This window comes from Homo sapiens, chromosome 19 (genome assembly GCF_000001405.40).
Source record: "Homo sapiens chromosome 19, GRCh38.p14 Primary Assembly".
Taxonomy (NCBI): Eukaryota; Metazoa; Chordata; class Mammalia; order Primates; family Hominidae; genus Homo; species Homo sapiens.
In genome coordinates, this window is record NC_000019.10 from 10,060,001 (window position 1) to 10,080,646 (window position 20,646).

General features: G+C 50.1%; 1 pseudogene across 1 annotated transcript in view, besides 1 other annotated feature; it reads left to right on the top strand.

Annotated features, from left to right (window-relative positions):
• C3P1 (complement component 3 precursor pseudogene) overlaps positions 1–14,138 on the top strand; it is a 32,783-nt pseudogene extending 18,645 nt beyond the window's left edge. Inside the window, exons 19-30 of the transcript NR_027300.2 lie at positions 1,809–1,981; positions 2,185–2,343; positions 5,579–5,638; positions 7,824–7,914; positions 8,966–9,011; positions 10,291–10,378; positions 10,635–10,721; positions 10,982–11,087; positions 12,924–13,010; positions 13,090–13,179; positions 13,300–13,435; positions 13,917–14,138. The product of NR_027300.2 is annotated as a complement component 3 precursor pseudogene (transcript). The remainder of the gene's footprint in view (positions 1–1,808; positions 1,982–2,184; positions 2,344–5,578; positions 5,639–7,823; positions 7,915–8,965; positions 9,012–10,290; positions 10,379–10,634; positions 10,722–10,981; positions 11,088–12,923; positions 13,011–13,089; positions 13,180–13,299; positions 13,436–13,916) is intronic.
• Positions 14,824–14,925: a silencer, noted in NCBI's record as "fragment chr19:10185500-10185601 (GRCh37/hg19 assembly coordinates)". NCBI's record gives its function as "represses an EF-1alpha promoter that drives an FKBP-Casp9 reporter gene in an ReSE screen in phorbol 12-myristate 13-acetate-treated (for megakaryocytic differentiation) K562 erythroleukemia cells {active_cell/tissue: K562(+PMA)}" and the evidence as "EXISTENCE:reporter gene assay evidence [ECO:0000049][PMID:32094911]".

A 20,646-nucleotide genomic window follows, 5' to 3' on the forward strand; every position in this document is an offset into this window, starting at 1 on the left:
AACCTCCATCACCCGGGTTCAAGCGATTCTTCTGCCTCAGCCTCCCAAGTAGCTGAGATTGCAGGCATCCACCGCTGCGCCTGGCTAATTTTTGTATTTTTAGTAGAGACGGGGTTTCACCATTTTGGCCAGGCTGGTCTCAAACTCCTGATCTCAGGTGATCTGCCCACCTCGGCCTCCCAAAGGGCTGGGATTACAGGCATGAGCCACCGTGCCCGGCCAAAAAAAAATTATTTATTTATTTTTTTATTTATTTTGAGACGGAGTCTCGCACTGTCCCCCAGGCTGGAGTGCAGTGGTGCGACCTCGGCTCACTGGAAGCTCTGCCTCTCGGCTTCATGCCCTTCTCCTGCCTCAGCCTCCCGAGTAGCTGGGACTACAGGCGCCCGCCATGACGCCCGGCTAATTTTTTGTATTTTTAGTAGAGACGGGGTTTCACCGTGTTAGCCAGGATGGTCTCGACCTCCTGATCTCCACCCATCTCGGCCTCCTAAGGGCTGAGACTACAGGTTTGAGCCACCGTGCCCGGCCAAAAAAAAAAAAAAAAAAAAACCCTTTTTAAGGCACACCTTCATGAAAGGCCATGGACATTTCAAGCAAAGGGAACAGCACAGGCAAACACCCTGAAGTGGAAAGAGTGCTTGGTGTTGTCAAGGATGGAAAGGTTATAAAACCTTCCCATGGGCCGGGCGCGGTGGCTCATGCCTGTAATCCCAGCACTTTGGGAGGCCAAGGCGGGCAGATCACTTGATGTCAGGAGTTTGAGACAAGCCTGCTCAACATGACGAAAACCCGTCTCTACTAAACATACAAAAAAAATCAGCCGGTCGTGGTGGCACATGCCTGTAATCCCACCTACTCGGGAGGCTGAGGCAGGAAAATCACTTGAACACGGGAGGTGGAGTTTGCAGTGAACCAAGATGGCGCCACTGCACTCCAGCCTGGGCAACAGAGTGGGACTCCATCTCAAAATAAATAAATAAATAAATAAATAAAAATTTAAAAAAAATCCCATGGCTGATGCTATCTCATCCCCAAGGGTCCATATCCCATCTTCCCCATTCTGCAAGTCAAGCAAAGTGGAACTAGGAAAATTTGCTTGCAATGGGACTGGAGGGACCTGAAGGAATTTTTTTTTTTTTTTTTTGTCATCCAGGCTGGACTGCAATGGCACAATCTCAGCTCACTGCAACCTCCACCTCCCAGGTTCAAGTGATTCTCCTGCCTCAGTCTCCTGAGTAGCTGGGATTACAGGCACCCACCACCACACCTGGCTAATTTTTTTGTATTTTTAGTACAGACAGGGTTTCACCATGTTGACCAGGCTGGTCTCGAACTCCTGACCTCAGGTGATCCGCCTGCCTTGGCCTCCCAAAGTTCTGAGATTACAGGTGTGAGCCACCGCGCCCAGCCAGGAACTTTTTTTTTGAAACTCAATTTCCCGATCGGAAAATAGAGTCCCGTTTCCCAGGGTCATTCTGAAAATTGGATGTCCACGTTTCCTCAGCAAAGAGCTTCACATAAAGTAGGTGATCAGGACTGGGCATGGTGGCTCACGCCTGTAATCCCAACACTTTAGGAGGTCGAGGTGAGAGAATGGCTTGAAGCCTCCCGGCCTCAAGACCAGCTTCGACAACATAATGAGAACCCCCCCAACCCCCACTCCCCCATCTCTACAAAAAATAAAAATAAAGTAGGTGATCAATAAGATGGCAGATGAGAAAACTGGGCCAGATGACACAAAGAGAGGGCAGGTTAAGGTGGGTGGGCCCAGCTCTGGGTGACAAGGCGGGCGTCCCTGTTTCTAGACAAAACCCACTGGCCAGTGGATGAGCAGAATCTGGGCTCCCTGTACACCATTGAGGCCACAGCCTATGGGCTCATGCAGAAGCTGGAGCTGGGCCGGTACAATGAGACACACGCCATAGCCAAGTGGCTACTAGAGAAGCAGGAGCTGGGAGGAGGCTTCAGGTCCACCCAGGTGATGGGGACCCCCGGGAGGTGAGGGCCAGAGTCACTAGCCGAAGTGCTGACTCGCCCAGCCCGACGGGGGAGTGTGTGTGTGTGTGTGTGTGGGGGGGGGGGGCTGTCCGTGGTGCTGACACGCCGGCCGATGGTTTCTCGAGTGCTGTCTGTGGTACTGATCCACGTTCCCCCACCTCCCCGCCCCATTCCAACACTCAGACCACGGTGGTGGCCCTTGAAGCTCTGACCCGCTTCCGCGAAGCTGTCCCCTTCAAGGGCATCCAGGATCTCCACGTCCAGATCAGAGCCCCCAAGACAGCCCTGAATGTGAATTGGTACATTGATCACAGCAATGCCTACCAACAGCGGTCAGCAAAGGTATGTCACTGAGGGGCAGGCCAGAGTCCACGCAGAGATGGCACTGGAGATGAGGCCAAGCATCATGTCCCTGCTGATCTCCCTCCTCAAGACATACCTCAAGATATGTGGCTATACTGTCAATGTATTGATTCATCTATTCCATCAACATTTCCTGAGCATCTACTATGTATCAGCGACTCTCCTAGGCATTGGGGTTATGTTATGAAAGATCCATGGTCCCTGTTCTTATGGAATCTAGAAGAGTCCCTAAGATCTAGAAGAAAATGGGCCAGATGCCATGGCTTACGCCTGTAATCCCAGCACTTTGGGAGGCCGAGGTGGGTGGATCATCTGAGGTCAGGAGTTCGAGACCAGCCTGGTCAACATAGTGAAACTCCATCCTACTAAAAATACAAAAATTACTCGGGCATGGTGGTGCATGCCTGTAATCCCAGCTACTCGGGAGGCTGAGACAGGAGACTCACTTGAACCCAGAAGGAGGAGGTTGTAGTTACCTGAGATTGCACCTGAGTGACATAGTGAAACTCCATCTCAAAATAAAAATAACAATAAATAAATAAATGAAAAGAAATGTCACCCTGGGCAACATAGCGAGACTCCATCTCTACTAAAAAAGAAAAGAAGAAGTAAATCAACTCATCTAAGCTCATGCATTGTTTAGTGGATGTCCCTGGATAAATAGTTGTCAAAATGAAGAAAGCAGAGGGAGGGGAAGAGTGTTTCTTTTTATTGTTGTTGTTGTTGTTGAGACAGAGTCTCACTCAGTCACCCAGGCTGGAGTGCAGTGACGTGATCTTGCCTCACCGAAACCTCCATCTCCCGGGTTCAAGCGATTCTCCCGCATCAGCCTCCCCAGTAGCTGGGATTACAGGCACGCACCACCAGCCCAGCTAATTTTTGTAGTTTTAGTAGAGATGGGGTTTCACCATGGTGGCCAGGCTGGTCTCGAAATCCTAGCCTCATGTGACCTGCCCACCTCGGCCTCCCAAATTGCAGGGATTACAGGCATGAGCCACCACGCCTAGCCAAGGAAGAGTGTTTCTGACATAGGGAACAGCATAGAGTGCAGACCCGGAGCCAGTCAGGCACAGGAATGGTCAGAAGGGAGAACAGCAAATAAAGCAGGCTATTAGGAGGCTTGCAGGCTGGCAGAGCTCAGCAGTGAGGGCTGGGAGGCCATGGCAAGAATTAGGACTTATCCTATAGGCGATAATATTTGATCCTATAGGCAATGAGATTTGAGTGATTGTGACTTTTTTTCTTTCTTTCTTTCTTTTTTTGTTGTTGTTGTTTTTTGTTTTTTAGAGACAGGGTCCCACTCTGTTGCCCAGGCTGGAGTGCAGTGGCACAAACATAGTTCACGGCAGACTCGAATTCTTGGGCTCAAGCGATCCTCCTGCCTTAGCCTCCTGAGTAGCTGGGACTGGACATGCATTGCAATGCCCGACTTAATTTTCAATTTTTTTGGTAGAGATGGGGTCTAGCTAAATTGCCCAGGCATGTTTTGAACTCCTGGGCTCAAGCAATCCTCCCCACTTGGCGTCCCACACTGCTGGGATTACAGGCATGAGCCACTATGTTTGGCTTGGCTGTGAATTTTTAAAATTTTATTCTGGCTGATACAAGTAGACTATAATGAGGAAAACAAGAGTAGCTGCAGATGAAGATAGAGATTAGATTGGTGGTTGCCAGAGGATAGGAAGTGTACAAAGAAAGGGAGGGATGAAAAGAAGTTGATTAATGGGTACAAGCATACGGTTCGATAGAGGAAATAAGACCGAGTGTTTGATAGATTCATAGGATGAATATAGTTTACAATAATCTATTGCATATTTCATAATAGCTGGAAGAAAAGAATTAGAATGATTTTAGCATAAAGAAAAGACAAATATTTAAGGTGATGGATATCTGAGGTACACTGATCTGATCTTTACACATTATATGAGTGCATTAGATTATCACACGTGCCTTGAAACTATGTACATCCATTATGCATCAATTTTTGTTTTTTGAGATGGAGTCTCACTCTGTCGCCCAGGCTGGAGTGCAGTGGCACAATCTCAGCTCACTGCAGGCTCCGCTTCCTGGGGTCAAGCGATTCTCCTGCCTCAGCCTCCCGAGTAGCTGGGATTACAGGCGCCTGCCTCCATGCTCACCTAATTTTTGTATTTTTTAGTAGAGACGGGGTTCCACCATGTTGGCCAGGCTGCTCGAACTCCTGACCTTAGGTGGTCCACCCGCCTCGGCCTCCCAAAGTGCTGGGATTACAGGCATGAGCTACTGCACCCAGCCCATTATGCATCAATTTTAAAAGGCAAAGAAAAATAAAGAGAGGTGCAGAGGTGCCAGTGAGAAGGGGCTCATGGGAGCTCCATGCACAGGGAACCTTGGAAATGCTCCAAAGAGAACAGATTCCAGGGATGCACATTAGGACACAGCCTGAACTGAGCCGTGCAGATGATCTGACGTCAGGAGTTCGAGACCAGCCTGGCAAACATGCTGAAACCCCATCTCTACGGGCGTGACAGCACAAGCCTGTAGTCCCAACTACTCGGGAGACTGAGGCAGGTCAGGAGAATTGCTTGAACCCAGGAGGCAGAAGTTGCAGTGAGCCAGGATCACGCCACTGTACTCCAGCCTGGACAACAAAATGAGACTCTGTCTAAAAAAAAAAAAAAAAAGACAGCCTTAGACTGGACATGGCAGCTCACGCCTGTAATCCCAACACTGGGAGTCCAAAGCGGGTGGATCACTTGAGGTCAGGAGTTCAAGACCAGCATAAGGAACATAGTTAGATCTTGTCACTACAAAAAAATACAAAAAAAAAAAAATTAGCCAGGCATGGTGGCACACACTTGTAGTTCCAGCTACTTGGGAGGCTAAGACAGGAGGATTGCTTGAGCCCAGGAGGCAGAGCGCACCAAAGTGAGCCAAGATCGCACCACTGTACTCCAATCTGGGCTACAGACTGAGACCTGGTCTCAAAAAAAAAAAAAATACACAGGCTGGATGAGCAGTTCCAGTTGATCTATGATAGTGTAGACACCACAAATGCTCTCTGAAGAGGGAAAAGCAAAACCATCTGCGTGGAGAGAGATGGAAAATGAATCACCAGGTCCCAGGTTAGGGAAAACCGAGGCCCTGGTGAGTGTTCAGGCTCCACATCCCCCTACACTTGACCCTCACTTTGCTGCTTCCTCCACCCTTAAATCTTCCTCTTTGTTCTCTTCAGTTCCTTGCCCAGGACGACCTAGAGATCAAAGCCAGTGGCAACGGGAGAGGCACCATCTCGGTAGGTCTTGTATTCTACTGTATTAGTCTGTTTAGGCTGCTACAACAAAATAGACTGTGTGGCTTATAAACAACAGAAATTGGCCCAGCATGGTGGCTCATGCCTGCAATCCCAGCATTTTGAGAGGCCCAGGCAGGAGAATCACTTGAGTCCAGGAGTTCGAGATGCACCAGGGCAACAGAGTGAGACTCTGTCTTTACAAAAAATTGAAAAATTAGATGGGCATGGTGGCACATGTCTATAGTCACAGCTACTCAAGAGGCTGAGGTGGGAGGATTGCTTGAGTCCAGGAGGTGGAAGCCGCAGTGAGTCGTGATCAAGACCTTGCATTCTACCCTAAATGACAGAGTGAGACTCTATCTCAAAGGAAGGAAGGAAAAGAAAGAGAAGAAAGAAAAGAAAGGAAAGCAAGAAAGCAAGAAACAAAGACTCGGTGCAGTGGCTTGGCTGGGCATGGTGGCTCACGCCTGTAATCCTAGCACTTTGGGAGGCCGAAGAGGGAAGATCACCTAAGGTCAGGAGTTCGAGACCAGCCTGGCCAACATGGTGAAACCCTGTCTCTACTAAAAATACAAAAGTTAACCAGGCATGGTGGCGGTCACCTGTAGTCCCAGCTACATGGGAGGCTGAGACAGGAGAATCACTTGAACACAGAAGGCAGAGGCCAAGATTGAGCCATTGCACCCTAGCGTGGGTGACCAGAGCAAAACTCTGTCAGAAAGAAAGAAGAAAGAAAAGAAAGAGAGAGAGAGAGAGAGAGAGAAAAGAAGAAAGAAAGAAAGGAGAAAGAAAGAAAAAGTGAGAAAGAGGAAAGAAAGAAAGAAGAAAAAGAAAGAAAGAAAGAAAGGAGAAAGAAAGAGAGAGAAATTTATTGCTCACAGTTCTGGAGGCTGGGAAGTCCAAGATAAAGGCAGGGTACACTCTCTGTTTCAGGCCGGGTGTGGTGGCTCATGCCTGTAATCCCAGCACTTTGGGAGGCCGAGGCAGGCAGATCACAAGGTCAGGAGATCCAGACCATCCTGGCTAACGCGGTGAAACCCTGTCTCTACTAAAAATACAAAAAATTAGCCAGGCGTGGCGGCATGTGCCTGTATTCCCAGCTGCTGGGGAGGCTGAGGCAGGAGAATGGCCTGAACCCAGGAGGTGGAGCTTGCAGGGAGCCGAGATCGCACCACTGCACTCCAGCCTGGGCAACAGAGCAAGACTCTGTCTCAAAATAAATAAATAAATAAAATAAAATAAATAAGTAATCTATTATACTCATATTATTATTTATTTATAACCTAAATAAATAAATATAGGCCAGTCAGTGTGATTCATGCCTGTAATCCCAGCACTTTGGGAGGCTGAGTGCTGGGATGACGTCCATGACTTTTTTTTTTTTTTTTTGAGATGGAATCTGGCTCTGTCACCCAGGCTGGAGTGCAGTGGCACAATCTCGGCTGACTGCAACCTCTGCCTCCCAGGTTCACGTGATTCTCCTGCCTCAGCTTCCTGAGTAGCTGGGACTACAGGTGCACAGCAGCATGCCCAGCTAATTTTTTGTATTTTTAGTAGAGACGGGGTTTCACCACATTGGCCAGGCTGGTCTCAAACTCCTGACCTGAAGTAATCTGTCCGCCTTGGCCTCCCAAAGTGCTGGGATTACAGGCATGAGCCACCATGCCCAGCCTGACGTCCATGACATCTTCCAGCCCCATGACGTATACCCGGGAGGACAGCTCTTTTGTTAACCAAAAGGTGGCCTGGTGTCGTGTTCCAGACAATGGAGTCATGGCTGAATCTCTGCCTTTGTTATGTGACCCTGAGCAAGTCATACCTTTCTTCAAGCCTCTGTGAAATCTAAGTTTAAATGGGTTAAAATTAAACAAAATTCAAAATTCAGTTTCTCCGTCGAGCTAGCCGCATTTCAAGTGTTTGGTAGCCACATGTGGCTAATGGCTGCCATACTGGACAATGCCAATTGGGACCATTTCCGTCACTGCAGAAAGTTCTATGACACAGAGCTGGTCTAGACTCCAGACACTGCTCTGGCCACTGCACCTAGGAATTGATGGGGTCGGTGGGGGCAATCTTGCAGTAAATTCCCCACATGGCCAGAGACCTGGGAAGTCAAGGATTGGGGTGCAGAGGAAAGGCAGTGGGTGGGGAAGGGCTCTGACAGCCCCCTTTCCTGGCCCGGCAGATCCTGACAATGTATCACAAGTCCCCAGAGTCCCGGGAGGACAACTGCAACCTGTACCACCTGAATGCGACTCTCCACAGTGCCCTAGAAGGTAAGCCTGGTGTGGCTACAGGAGGAGTAAGGGTAGAGTTTTAGGAGAAGAAGTTGGAAAGGTGATGGGGGAAGATGGTGTAGGGACTTGTTAGCCACAGTGAGGACTTTGGCTTTTGTTCTGAGTCAGGTGGGGCATAGAAAGTTCCCAACGGAGGAGGAGTGTGACCTGGCACAGGTCTGCACAGGCTCCCTCTGATCTGACCACTCTAGAGGGTGAGGGTGGGAGCCAGGTGACCAGGAAGGTGACTGCACTGGTCCTGCAGGAGATGATGGAGGCCGGGCCAGATTAGGGGCTCTGGAGATGATCAGATATTAGTGGGCCGGGCACAGTGACTCATGCCTGTTATTCCAACACTTTGGGAGGCTGAGGCAGGAGGATCACTTGAGCTCAGGAGTTCAAGACCAGCCTGGGTAGCATAGTGAAACTCCATCTCTACAAAAAATTAGCTGGGCATGGTGATGCATGCTTGCGGTTCCAGCTACTCAGGAAGTTGAGGCGGGAGGATCATTTGAGCCCGGGTGGAGGCTGCAGTGAACCATGATTGTGCCATTGCACTGTAGCCTGGGCAACAGAGTGAGAACCTCTTTCAAAAGAAAAAAAAAACAAAAACAGAGAAATAGTTGGATTCCACAGTTCCCAGCCTGGGGCACCAAGAAGGAGAGAGGACTATTGGGAGCTCACTGTGGGAGTAAGAGGAACAACCCTCACCAGTCCCATGAATTTTAGGGACTAAACCTCACCAAGGTTTTGGTTTTTGCTTGATCTCTTAATAATAATAACAATAATAATAATAGTTACAAAGCACTGATCAGGCACCATGCTGAGGGCTTTACTTGTATTAACTTATTTAATCCTCACATCAATCCTGTTGGGTTGGGAATATTATGATCCCCCCTTAAGGATGAGTAAACTGAAGCAGAGAGAAGTTAAGCAACTTGCTCAAAGTCACACAGCAGAGTCAGGATTTGAATCCAAGATGCTAGCTCCAGAGACTGTGCACTTGATTACTGTGCTCCCCAGCCTCTAAACTGCTGCCTTCTCTCTGCAGAAAATAAAAAGGGAGGTGAGACTTTTCGGCTCCGGATGGAAACAAGGTCAGCGCACCAGGATCTTGAACTGGGAGGGAGGAGGGTCTCACTTTCCGGTATCTAGATTCCTTAGCGGCCTTCCCCGTGTACTGAGTGGACAGTGGGAACCAGCCAAGCTTGCCTCTCCATGCCTGTCCCCCATTCTGTACCTGCCTCCTTCCATGTCTGCATGTCCTCATATGACAGGCTCTACCTCAGCTGACATGCTCCATGACTCAGATGCCCAGAGCTGGCTCCAAGCCCTGAAGCTCTCCCCGTGGTTCTCATTTTCTCCGAACATCCCAGCCCCCACCCCAGTCCTGCCCTGTCCCATACCTCCCTTGCCCAGGTCTGCTTCAGATAGAAACATTATTGGGCACCTACTGTGTGCCAGACCCTGTTCTTGGAGCTAGGGACCCAGCTATGAGCAAGGCAGCCTCTCCCTGCCCTGGCGAAGCCCACAGTCTATCAGGAGACACACACAATCATCAAATAATCACACAGAACCAATAATGAAATGGCAGTGGTGATTTCATGTGGCAAAGGAGAGGTTTACAGAGTCATGAGAGGCAAATCAGAGAATGATCTGGGCCTGGTGCGGTGGCTCATGCCTGTAATCCCAGCACTTTGGGAAGCCAAGAGGATCACTTGAGCCCAGGAGTTTGAGGCCAGCCTGGGCAACACAGCAAGACCTCATCTCTAAAAAAAAAAATTCAAAAATTAGCTAAGGGTGGTAATGCATGTCTATAGTCCCAGCTACTCATGAGCCTGAGACTGGAGGATCACTTGAGCCCAGGAAGCTGAGGCTACAGTGAGCCATGATTGAGCCACTGCACTCCAGCCTGGGTGACCCTGTCTAAAAAAAAAAAAAAAATGATTTGGTGTGTGGGGTGTAGGTTGGGGAAGGCTTCCCAGAGGGAGTGATGTATCCGCTGAGATGGAAAACATGAGGGGTGTTTCAGGATGAAGAGGCAGAAACGAAGATTCCAGGCTGAGTGAACAGCATGTGCAAAAGTCTGGTGGCAGGACAGGGAACAAGGCTAACAGTGATCAAATGGAGGCTGAGGTGGGAGGAGGTGATGTGGAAGGGTGTCAGGATTGAGGCAAGGCATTTGGTAATTGAAGCAACGAGGCAAGGTAGTCAGATTTCTGCTTGCTAAAGCTCTGTGTTGTGAGTGGCAAAGGGGACATGGGGAGACCTGGAAGGAGGCTACTGCGCTGGTCCAAGCCAGAGACAACAGCAGTGGGGAGCATGGAGAGAGAGGCGGGAGGATAGTGGGGAAAGACTGGGGCTGTGAACTTCCAGGTTCCAGAACAATTGAGAGGCCACAATGACTATCATGGAGGTCTCCCTGCTCACGGGCTTCTACCCCAACCAGGATGACCTCAAACAGGTAATGCAGACCCCACCTACCTGCTTCCTGAGCAACCTTCCCATACTTCCCACATGGGTGCAGGGCAGTGTCTACTCAAAGCAAGGCTTCTGGGTTAATGCCCCATCGTTACTTCTCTGCATGGCCAAAACCAAACTTTTCCCTGGTTGGGCCTCAGTTTCCCCTAGCATGGGGTTGATTGGACAAAGGCTGGAGCTCTAGGGCTACGGGCCTTGGAGACTGTCAGCCACCCTCCAGTCTCCACCCTCTGCCCCAGCTCACGAGTGATGTGGAGAGGTACGCCTTTCAGTACAAAACCAAGACAAGTACCAGCGACAGCACTGTTGTCCTCTACCTGGAAAAGGTGAGAGGGGCCGGGTGCCCTCCGCCAGAGGTGTGTGGGTACCCTGGGGGCTGGAGAACCCAAGGTCGGTCCCCTGGGTGGGTTTTGCAGAGAGCCAGGCCCTCTCAGGTCAGCTCCTCCAGTTGCGATCCCTGTGGTCAAGGCCACATGGTCCGTGGTCATGGCCAATGCCAACAGCCAAGGCCTCGTGGTCAGTGCCACAAGGTCAGTGCCCCAGTCAGTGGCCCTGGCCGGCTCAGACAGGACTCTGTTCTCTCCAGCTCTCCCATGAGAAGAACACGGTGCTGGGCTTTCGGGTTCACAGGATGCTGCAGGCGGAGTTCCTGCAGGCCGCCCTGGTCACCATCTACGACTACTACGAGCCTTGTAAGGAGGGGCCCCCGTGCATGGGGATGAGGCCTGCAAAGGACAGAGCCAGGTGCCAGGCGAGGAGAGACCGGGCATTGCGAAAAGGGGGCTGGGCCTGGCTAGACATAAGGGGCGAGGTCTTATTGGATTGACCTAGGTTGGCGGGGACAGGAAGGAGATGGGGCAAAGTTGAAGGGGGACTGGGCGTGGCCTGCTGGGAATGGATGGGGAAGGGGCAGGCTCTTTTGAGTGGGCGTGGCCTGTTGACAGAGGTGGCTGGCCAGGGCCCTTCAAAGTGAGGTTTGTAGGGGGCAGGGCCAGGAAGAGGGGAAGGTCTGGGAGGACCTGGAGGGCGCAGCCCAGGGACAAGGAGGGGCAGGAGGGAGCCTGGACTTTGGAGGATGGGGAAGGCAGGCCAGGGCCCGGAGTGGGTGAAGACTTCTCAGGACTAGGCCAGGTAGGCAACGAACCCCCAGGAACACTGGCCCAAGACAACGCCCTCCCCCAACCCCTGCACCCTCCATCCACAGCCCGGAGGTGCAGCACTTTCTACAACCTGCCCACAGAGCAATCTTCCCTGAGAAAGATCTGCCACAAAGACATCTGCAGATGTGCAGAGGGTGAGATGTGCCGAGGGTGAGCCCCATGCCACCAGGCTGGGGCTGCCAGGTTGTGGGGGGCGGATCCAGGAGCCCTTCAAGCCTCCTCCTGGCTGTAGTCTGGCCTGAGTTTAGACAGAAAGAGAAAGAGACAGAGGCAGAGGCAAAGAGAGACAGAAAGAAGGCACAGAGAGACAAAGCTTGTCACACACACATACTCGCACTGCCAAAGATCAAATGACACGGAGACAGAGAGAAAGACACAAAGAGACGAAGACGGGAGAAATAGACAAGAAAGTGACCAAAAAGAGAGACAGACACTGGGCATGGTGGCTCATGCCTGTAATCCCAGCACTTTGGGAGGCCAAGGCGGGAGGATGGCTTGAGGCCAGAAGTTCCAGACAAGCCTGGGCAACACAGTGAGACCCCATCTCTACCAAAAAATTTTTTTAAAAAATTAGCCAGGAGTGGTGGTAAGTACCCGTAGTCCCAAATACTTGGGCGGCTGAGGCGGAAGGATCAGGAGTTGGAGACTGTAGTGAGCTATGCTTGTGCCACTGCACTCCAGCCAGGGTGATACAACAAGACCTTGTCTCAAAAATAAATTTAAAAAGCCGGGCTCAGTGGCTTACACCTGTAATCCCAGCATTTTGGGGGCCAAGGTGGGTGGATCACTTGAGGTCAGGAGTTTGAGACCAGCTTGGCCAACATGGTGAAACTCCATCTCTACTGAAAATACAAAAATTAGCTGAGTGTGGTGGTGCATGCCTGTAGTCCCAGCTACTCAGGAGACCGAGGCATGAGAATTGCTTGAACCTGGGAGGTGGAGGTTGCAGTGAGCTGAGATCACAGTGCATTCCAGCCAGGGCAACAGCACGAGACTCTGTCTCAAAAAATAAATAAATAAATAGGCCAGGTATGATGGCTCACACCTGTTGTCCCAACACTTTGGGAGGCCGAGGTGAGAGGATTGCTTCAGCCCAGGAGTTTGAGACCAGCCTGGGCAACATAGTGAGAGACCCCAACTCTTAAAAATATAATAATAATAAGAGAGAGAGAGAAGAAAAAGAAAGGAAGGAGGAAGGAAAAAGAAAAGAAAAAGAGAGAGAGAGAGACAGAGAGAGAGCCCCACAGACCAGAAGGGCCAGATCCGGAGACCCAGGCCTGGGGGCTGAAGGGAGGGAGGGTGGGGGGTGATTGGGAGGAAGTGCCCTGTCCCAGCACCGCCAGAGCAGCTGCCCTCCTGACCCTGCAGGACAGTGCCCATCCCTGCAGAAGCCCAGTGGCCAATTGAGGCAGGAGGAGCTCCAGACAACAGCATGTGAGGCAGGCGTGGATTTTGGTGAGTGTGGGGAGCCACAGGGGACAGGCAGAGCCCACCTGCAGGCCGAATGCCAACATGACACCCTCCCCTTCCCCAGTGTACAAGACAAAGCTGGAATCTGTGGAGGTCTCTGCCTCCAACCCTTACGTCTATTACAACACGCAGCTCGAAGACATCATTAAGAGTGGTATGTCCCAGGTGACAAAGAAGGAATCCCAGTGTGGGGTCACCCTGGGGGCCCACCCTGGGGGTCCCATTGTGTGGGAGGGTCAGACCTGTGTATGTGCACACACCGGGTTTTCTCCAGGTACGGACCCTGCCACACCCCTGGCCATGAAGAAATTCGTCTCCCATGCCACTTGCCATGACTCCCTGGGGTTGCAAGAACAGGAATCGTACCTCATCATGGGCCAGACGTCAGACCTGTGGAGAATCAAATCTGAGTGCGTGAGGGGTTCCACCTGTCCTGGGGACTCAGGCCTGGGCCTTCTTGCCTACCCTCAACCCAGCCCTCAGTTCCACAATTTTTGCTGGAGATTTCAAGCAATTCTCCTGCCTCAGCCTCCCAAGTAGTAGCTGGGACTACATGCGTGTGTCACCACACTGGGCTAATTTTCGTATTTTCAGTAGAGACAGGGTTTCATCATGTTGGCCAGGCTGGTCTTAAAACTCCTGGCCTCAAGTGATCCACCCACCTCGGCCTCCCAAAATCACGGGGTTGCAGGCGTGAGCCACCGCACCCGGCCAGGGAAGCATTTACTAATTCCCAGTGATTTGGACTAAGAGGCTGGAAGATCAGAGAGGGCCCTCGGGTGTGGACACTACAGGCTAAGGCTCTGGCAGGCTGTCAGACAGGGCAGGGAGGTCCCCATATCCCCAGGGGCACCAGGCTCTCCTCACCTTCTTGCTTCTTGTAACCCACAGTTACAGCTATGTTCTGGGCAAGGAGACGTTCCTCATCCTTTGGCCAGCAGATGGAGATGCCAGCAAGAAAGAATTGCGGGACCAACTGGAGGAATTTTTGGAATATATGCGCACCCACGGCTGCCAGTCCTGAGCCTCTTCTGCTTTCAGGGAGGTGTCATCAGGCAGCTCTGGGCCACTGGGTTTAACCCCAAATAAAGAGCACAGGATATGACACCCAAACCCTGGACATTTGTCCCTGTGTCAGCTTTCACCAGGGGACCTGCACAACCTGCTCTGGCATAATGTGGACCTGTCTCCTCCCTCTTCCCCTGCTACTTGGGCGGCTGAGGCAGGAGGATCACTTGGGAGCTGGCTCTCCAAGAGTCAATATTCCAAGAGAAGGAGCAGAGGGAGCCATAGTACCTTTTATGACCTAGCCTCAGGGGTCACATGCCATCATTTCTGCAACGTCCTATTGGTCACATGAGCCAGTATTATTCAGCATGGGTGGAGACTACACAAGGCATGACCACTAGGAGGCAGGGTTCACTAGGGGAATAAATTTCAGCAGGCCATGGTATCCAATCCATTTAATGTGCTGCTGGATTTGGTTTGTTAACATTTTGTTGAGGATTTTTGCATCTATATTCATAAGGAATATTGGTCTGTAGTTTTCTCTTCTTGTGGTATCAGTGTCTGGAATGCTGGCCCCATAGAGTGTAAAAGAAATTAAGAAATATTCTTGGGAGCCATGGTGGCTCAGGCCTGTTGTCCTGGTGCACAAGGAGGCAAGGCTAGAAGTTTGAGGCCAACCTGGGCAATATAAAAACCTCTCGTCTATATAACAACAACAATAAAAAAACTAGCCAGCACAGTGGCTCACGCCTGTAATCCCAACACTTTGGGAGGCTGAGGCAGGCAGATCACCTGAGGTTGGGAATTCGAGACCAAGCTGACCAACATGGAGAAACCCTGTCTCTACTTAAAATACAAAAAAATAAGCCAGGTGTGGTGATTTGCCTGTAATCCCAGCTACTCGAGAGGCTGAGGCAGGAGAATCACTTGAACCCCGGAGGCAGAGGTTGGAGCGAGCCAAGATTGTGCCATTGCACTCCAGTCTGGGCAACAAGGGCGAAATTCTGTCTCAAAACAAAAGGCCCAGCACAGTGGCTCACGCTCACGCCTGTAATCCCAGCATTTGGGAGGCCAAGGCAGGCAGATCACGAGGTCAGGAGATCGAGACCATCCTGTCTAACATGGTGAAACCCCTTCTCTACTAAAAATACAAAAAAATTAGCCAGACGTGGTGGCGGGTGCCTATAGTCCCAACTACTCGGGAGGCTGAGGCAGGAGAATGGTGTGAACCCAGGAGGCAGAGCTTGCAGCGAGCCGAGATCGCACCACTGCACTCCAGCCTGGGCGACAGAGCGAGACTCCGTCTCAAAAAAAAAAAAAAAAGAAAAAGAAAAGAAAGAAAGAAAGAAAGAATTTTCTCCTCTTCCTGAGCATGATGGTTCACACCTGTAGTCACAGCACTTTGGGAGGCTGAGTCAGGCAGATTGCTTGAGTCCAAGAGTTCCAAACCAGCCTGGGCAACATGGAAAAACCCTGTGTCTACCAAAAAATACAACAATTAGCCAGGCTTGGTGGTATGTGCCTATAGTCCCAGCTACTTTGCAGGCTGAGGTGGGAGGATGGATTGACCCTGGAAGGTTGAGGCTGCAGTGAACTCTGTTCACACCACAGCATTCCAGCTTCAGTGTGACAATGAGACCCTGTCTCAAAAAAAAAAAAAATCCCTCTTCCAGTCTGGGCAACACAGCATGACCCCGTCTCAAATTAAAACTTTAAAAAATATTGGCCGGGCATAGTGGCTCACACCTGTAATCCCAGCACTTTGGGAGGCTGAGGCAGGCGGATCACCTGAGGTCACGAGTTGGAGACCAGCCTGACCAACATGGAGAGAGCCCGTCTCTACTAAAAATAAAAAACTAGCCGGGCATGGTGGCACATGCCTGTAATCCCACCTACTAGGGAGGCTGAGGCAGGAGAATCGCTTGAACCCGGGAGGCGGAGGTTGCGGTGAGCCGAGATCGCACCATTGCACTCCAGCCTAGGCAACAAGAGTGAAACCCCGTCTCAAAAAAAAAAAAAGAAAGAAACAAAAAGAAAAAAGCTGGGCATGATAGCACACACCAGTAGTTCCAGCTACTCAGGAGGCTGAGGTGTGTGGATTCCTTGAGCCCAGGAGACACAGGCAGCTGCAATGAGCTATGACCAGGCCACTGCACTCCAGCTTGTGCAACAGAGAAAAGCCCTGTATCCAAGAAAAGAAGAGAGACAGACAGAGAGAGAGAGAGAGAGAGAGAGAGAGAGAGAGACCAGGTGGAGTGGCTCACTCCTGTAATCCCAACATTTTGGGAGGCTGAGGCAGGAGGACAACTTGAGTCCAGGAATTCGAGACTAACCTGGGCAACAAAGTGAGACCCTGTCTCTACAAAAAAATCAAGAAATTAGCTGGATGTGGTGGTGTGTGCCTGTAGTCCCAGCTACATGGGAGGCAGGAGGATTGCTTGAGCCCAGAAGGTCAAGGCTGCAGTAAATCATTCACACCACTGCACTCCAGCCTGGGCAGCAGACTGAGACCCTGTCGAAAAGGAAAGGGATGGGACAAGACGGGACAGGACAGGACGGGACGGGATGGAATGGGACGGGACGGGAAGGGAAGGGAAGGGAAGGGGAGAAGAAGAAGAAGAAGAAGGAGAAGAAGAAGGAGAAGGAGAGAGAAGAGAAAAGAGAAGAGAAGAGAAGAGAAGAAGGAGGAGGAGGAGAGGAAGGAAGGAAGGAAGGAAGGAAAGAAGGAGGGAGGGAAGGAGGCAGGGAGGGAAGGAAGGAAGGAGGGAGGGAAGGAAGGAAGGAATGTTCCTTCCTCTTCTATTTGTTGGAAGCATTTGAAAAGAATGTGTACTTAACTTATTGGTAGACTTCATCACTGAAATCATTCAGTCATGACCTTTTCTTGTTTGGAGGTTTTTGATTACTAATTCTAGTTCTTATTACAGATCTGTTGAGATTTTCTATTTCTTCTTGAGTTAGTTTTATGTATTTCTAGAAATTTGTTCATCCAGATAGATTATCTGATTTGTTGGTGAATAATTGTTCATAGCATTCTCTTATAATCCTTTAAATTTCTGTAAGGTCAGTAGTAATGCCTCTATTTTCATTTCTAATTTTAGTTATTTGCACCTTTTTTTCCTTTGTCAGTATTGCTAAAGGTTTGTCAATTTTCTTTATCTTTTTGAAGAACCAACTTTTGGTTTCCTTGAGTCTTTGTCTATTTATTTATTATTATTATTATTTTGAGATGGAGTCTCTCTCTGTCACCCAGCCTGGAGTGCAGTGGCACGATCTCAGCTCACTGCAACCTCTGCCTCCCAGGTTCAAGCAATTCTCCTGTCTCAGCCTCCAGAGTAGCTGGGACTACAGAAGCGTGCCACCACACCCGACTAATTTTTTTGTATTTTTAGTAGAGATGGGGTTTCACCATGTTAGCCAGGATGGTCTCGATCTCCTGACCTCGTGATCCCTGCCTGCCTCGGCCTCCCAAAGTGTTGGGATTACAGGCGTGAGCCACCGTGCCTGGCCCATTGAGTCTTCAAATTTCTCCACTGTTTCTCCTTTTTCTTTCTTTCTTCCTTTTTTTTTTTTTTTTTAGATGGATTCTTGCTATGTTGCCCAAGCTGCTGGTCTTGAATTCCTGGACTCAAGTGATTCCCCACTCCTCAGCCTCCCAAAGTGCTGAGATTACAAGCATGAGCCACTACGCCCAGCTATACTGATTACTTTTTTAATTTTAGTTTTTATTCATTTTCACAGACAGGGTCTCACTCTGTCACCTAGGCTGGAGCGCAGTGGCATGATCATGGCTCACTGCAGCCTGAACTCCTGCACTCAAGTGATCCTCCTGCCTTGGCCCCCCAAGGAGCTGGGACTACAGGTAGAAGCCGCCACACCTGGCCTGTCCTTATTATCTTTTTAGGATACATGAAAACAAAAAGATTCCCCCAAAGGCAGACATGTAGAAAAGAAAATGGGGACTGGGCGCGATGGCTCATGCCTCTAATCCCAGCACTTTGGGAAGCCAAGGCAGGTGGATCATCTGAGGTCGGGAGTTCGAGACCAGCCTGACCAACATGGCGAAACACTGACTCTACTAAAAATACAAAATAATTAGCCAGGCATGGTGACGGGCGCCTGTAATCCTAGCTACTCAGGAGGCTGAGATGGGAGAATTCCTTGAACCTGGGAGGCGGAGGTTGCAGTGAGCCAAGATTGTACCACTACACTCCAGCCTGGACAATAAAGCCAGACTCTGTGAGAAAGGAAATGAGAGGAGAGGGGAGGGGAGAGGAGGGGAGGGGAGGGGAGGAAAGGAAAGGAAAGGAAGAAAAGAAAGAGAAGAAAAGAAAGTGGGAAACTCCATCGCAAGCCTTTATCGTACGCTCCTCCCCGCAGAACCAGAACGTGCACATCCTGCATCCCCTATTCAACATGGAAAACACTTGAGTAGCCAAGGACAAAAATATGTAATGTTTCTTACTGTGTGTACACCGGGACTTCCTCCTTCTGGATCAAACACTTCTTAATGTGTAACTTTTTGGAGGAGGAGTCCAACACGCTTTGCTTTTGCAATCAGAAAAGGAAAAAAGGGCAGAGTATCATGCTTAGAGGGGAGAGAATGCTATCGGCAAATTTAAAATTCCAAAATGTAAAGTAGAAAGAGGACATTGTCTGTCCATCCCACATCCCAGAATTACAGGTCTGGTGTCTGCACCGACTGGCTTTTTTTTTTTTTTTTTTTTTGAGATGGAGTCTCGCTCTGTCGCCCAGGCTGGAGTACAGTGGCTTGATCTTGGCTCACTGCAACCTCCGCCTCCCGGGTTCAAGCGATTCTTCTGCCTCAGCCTCCTGAGTAGCTGGGACTAAAGGCCTGCACCACCACACCCAGCTAATTTTTATATTTTTAGTAGAAACGGGGTTTTGCCATATTGGCCAGGCTGGTCTCAAACACTCCTGACCTCGTGATCCGCCTGCCTCAGCCTCCCAAAGTGCTGGGATTACAGGCGTGAGCCATCACACCTGGCCCCGACTGGCTTTTTCTCAGTACTTTCCCTCGGGGCCTTCTGGCCTTGGTTCTCCTCCAGAATGTAGGATCAATGATTAATGATGGATGTTTCTGCTGTCAGGAGCTGAGATGTGGCAGCAGTCCCTGGAGTGGAGTGAGGAACTGTTTCCCACAGGCCACGCCCTCGGAAAAGCAAGATAAACCAAAGTGGTGGGCGTGGTGGCTCACACCTGTAGTCCCAGCACTTTGGGAGGCTGACGTGGGAGGATCACTTGAGTCCAGGAGGTCAAGGCTGAACTGCACTCCAGCCTGGGTGATGTGGCAAGTCCCCACCCCCAAAAAAAGAAGAAAGCAGCTAGACGTGATGGCTCATGCCTATAATCCCAGCACTTTGGGAGGCCAAGGCAGGCAGATCCCTTGAGGCCAGGAGTTCAAGATCAGCCTGGACAACATGGCAAAACCCTGTCTCTACTAAAGATATAAAATTAGCTGGGCATGGAGGCACACGCCTGTAATCCCAGCTACTACTTGGGAGGCTGAGGTACGAGAATCCCTTGAATCCAGGAGGCGGAAGTAGCAGTGATGTGAGATCACGCCATTGTGCTCCAGCCTAGGCGACAGAGCAAGACTCTGTGTCAAAAAAAAAGAAAAAAACAAAAAAAAACACCGGAAAGAAAAGAGGCTGCGCTCAGTGGCTCACGTCTGTAATCCCAGCACTTTGGGAGGCCAAGGTGGGAGGATTACCTGAAGTCAGGAGTTTGAGACCAGTCTGGCCAACATGGTGAAACCCTATCTCTATTAAAAATATAAAAAACTAGCCAGGCATGGTGGCGGGTGCCTATAATCCCAGCTACTCAGGAGGCTGGGGCAGGGAATTGCTTGAACCAATGGGGTGGGGGTTGCAGTGAGCCAAGATTGCACCACTGCACTGCAGCCTGGGTGACAGAGCAAGACTCTGTCTCAAAAAAAAAAAGAAAGAAAGAAAGAAAAGAAGGAAAGAAGGAATGGAGGGAGGGAGGAAGGGAGGGAGGGAGGGAAGGAGGGAGGAAGGAAGGAAGGAAGGAAGGAAGGAAGGAAGGAAGGAAGGGGAGAAGGAAGGAAAGAAGGAAGGAGAGAAGGAAGGAAGGTTGGTTAAGGACTGTCTGGTTCCAAAGCATGCCCCCTTCATCTCTACAATTCTTAACCTAAATTCCAGCTTGAAGGAGTTTGCAGTCAGTTGGCCTGAGTTCAAATCCTGGCTATACCACTTATAAACTGGGTATCCATGTGATTTGCTTAATCTCTTGGAGGCTCAGTTTCTTCATCTGTAAGGGCCAATCATGCCTAAGCCAGAAGATCCTAAGGCCTAGGGCATAACCTGCAGACAGCCTGACACTCAGTGAGCTCCAGATACACTCAGGGAATTTATTTTAGCCATTATAATTTCTCCACTCACCACTCACCAAATTCATTTGAGCAGAGCCCCATTAAACAGGTTCCTCAACTTTTGCACATAATGTATTCCTGGAAAAATGTATGAAACTGATTTCACAAAAGTCGAACAACAGATTTCTGTGCTACAAAGGATGTTCCATTTACTGAGAACTACTCAAATTATAAAATCCCAAATTACTTCTCACCTGT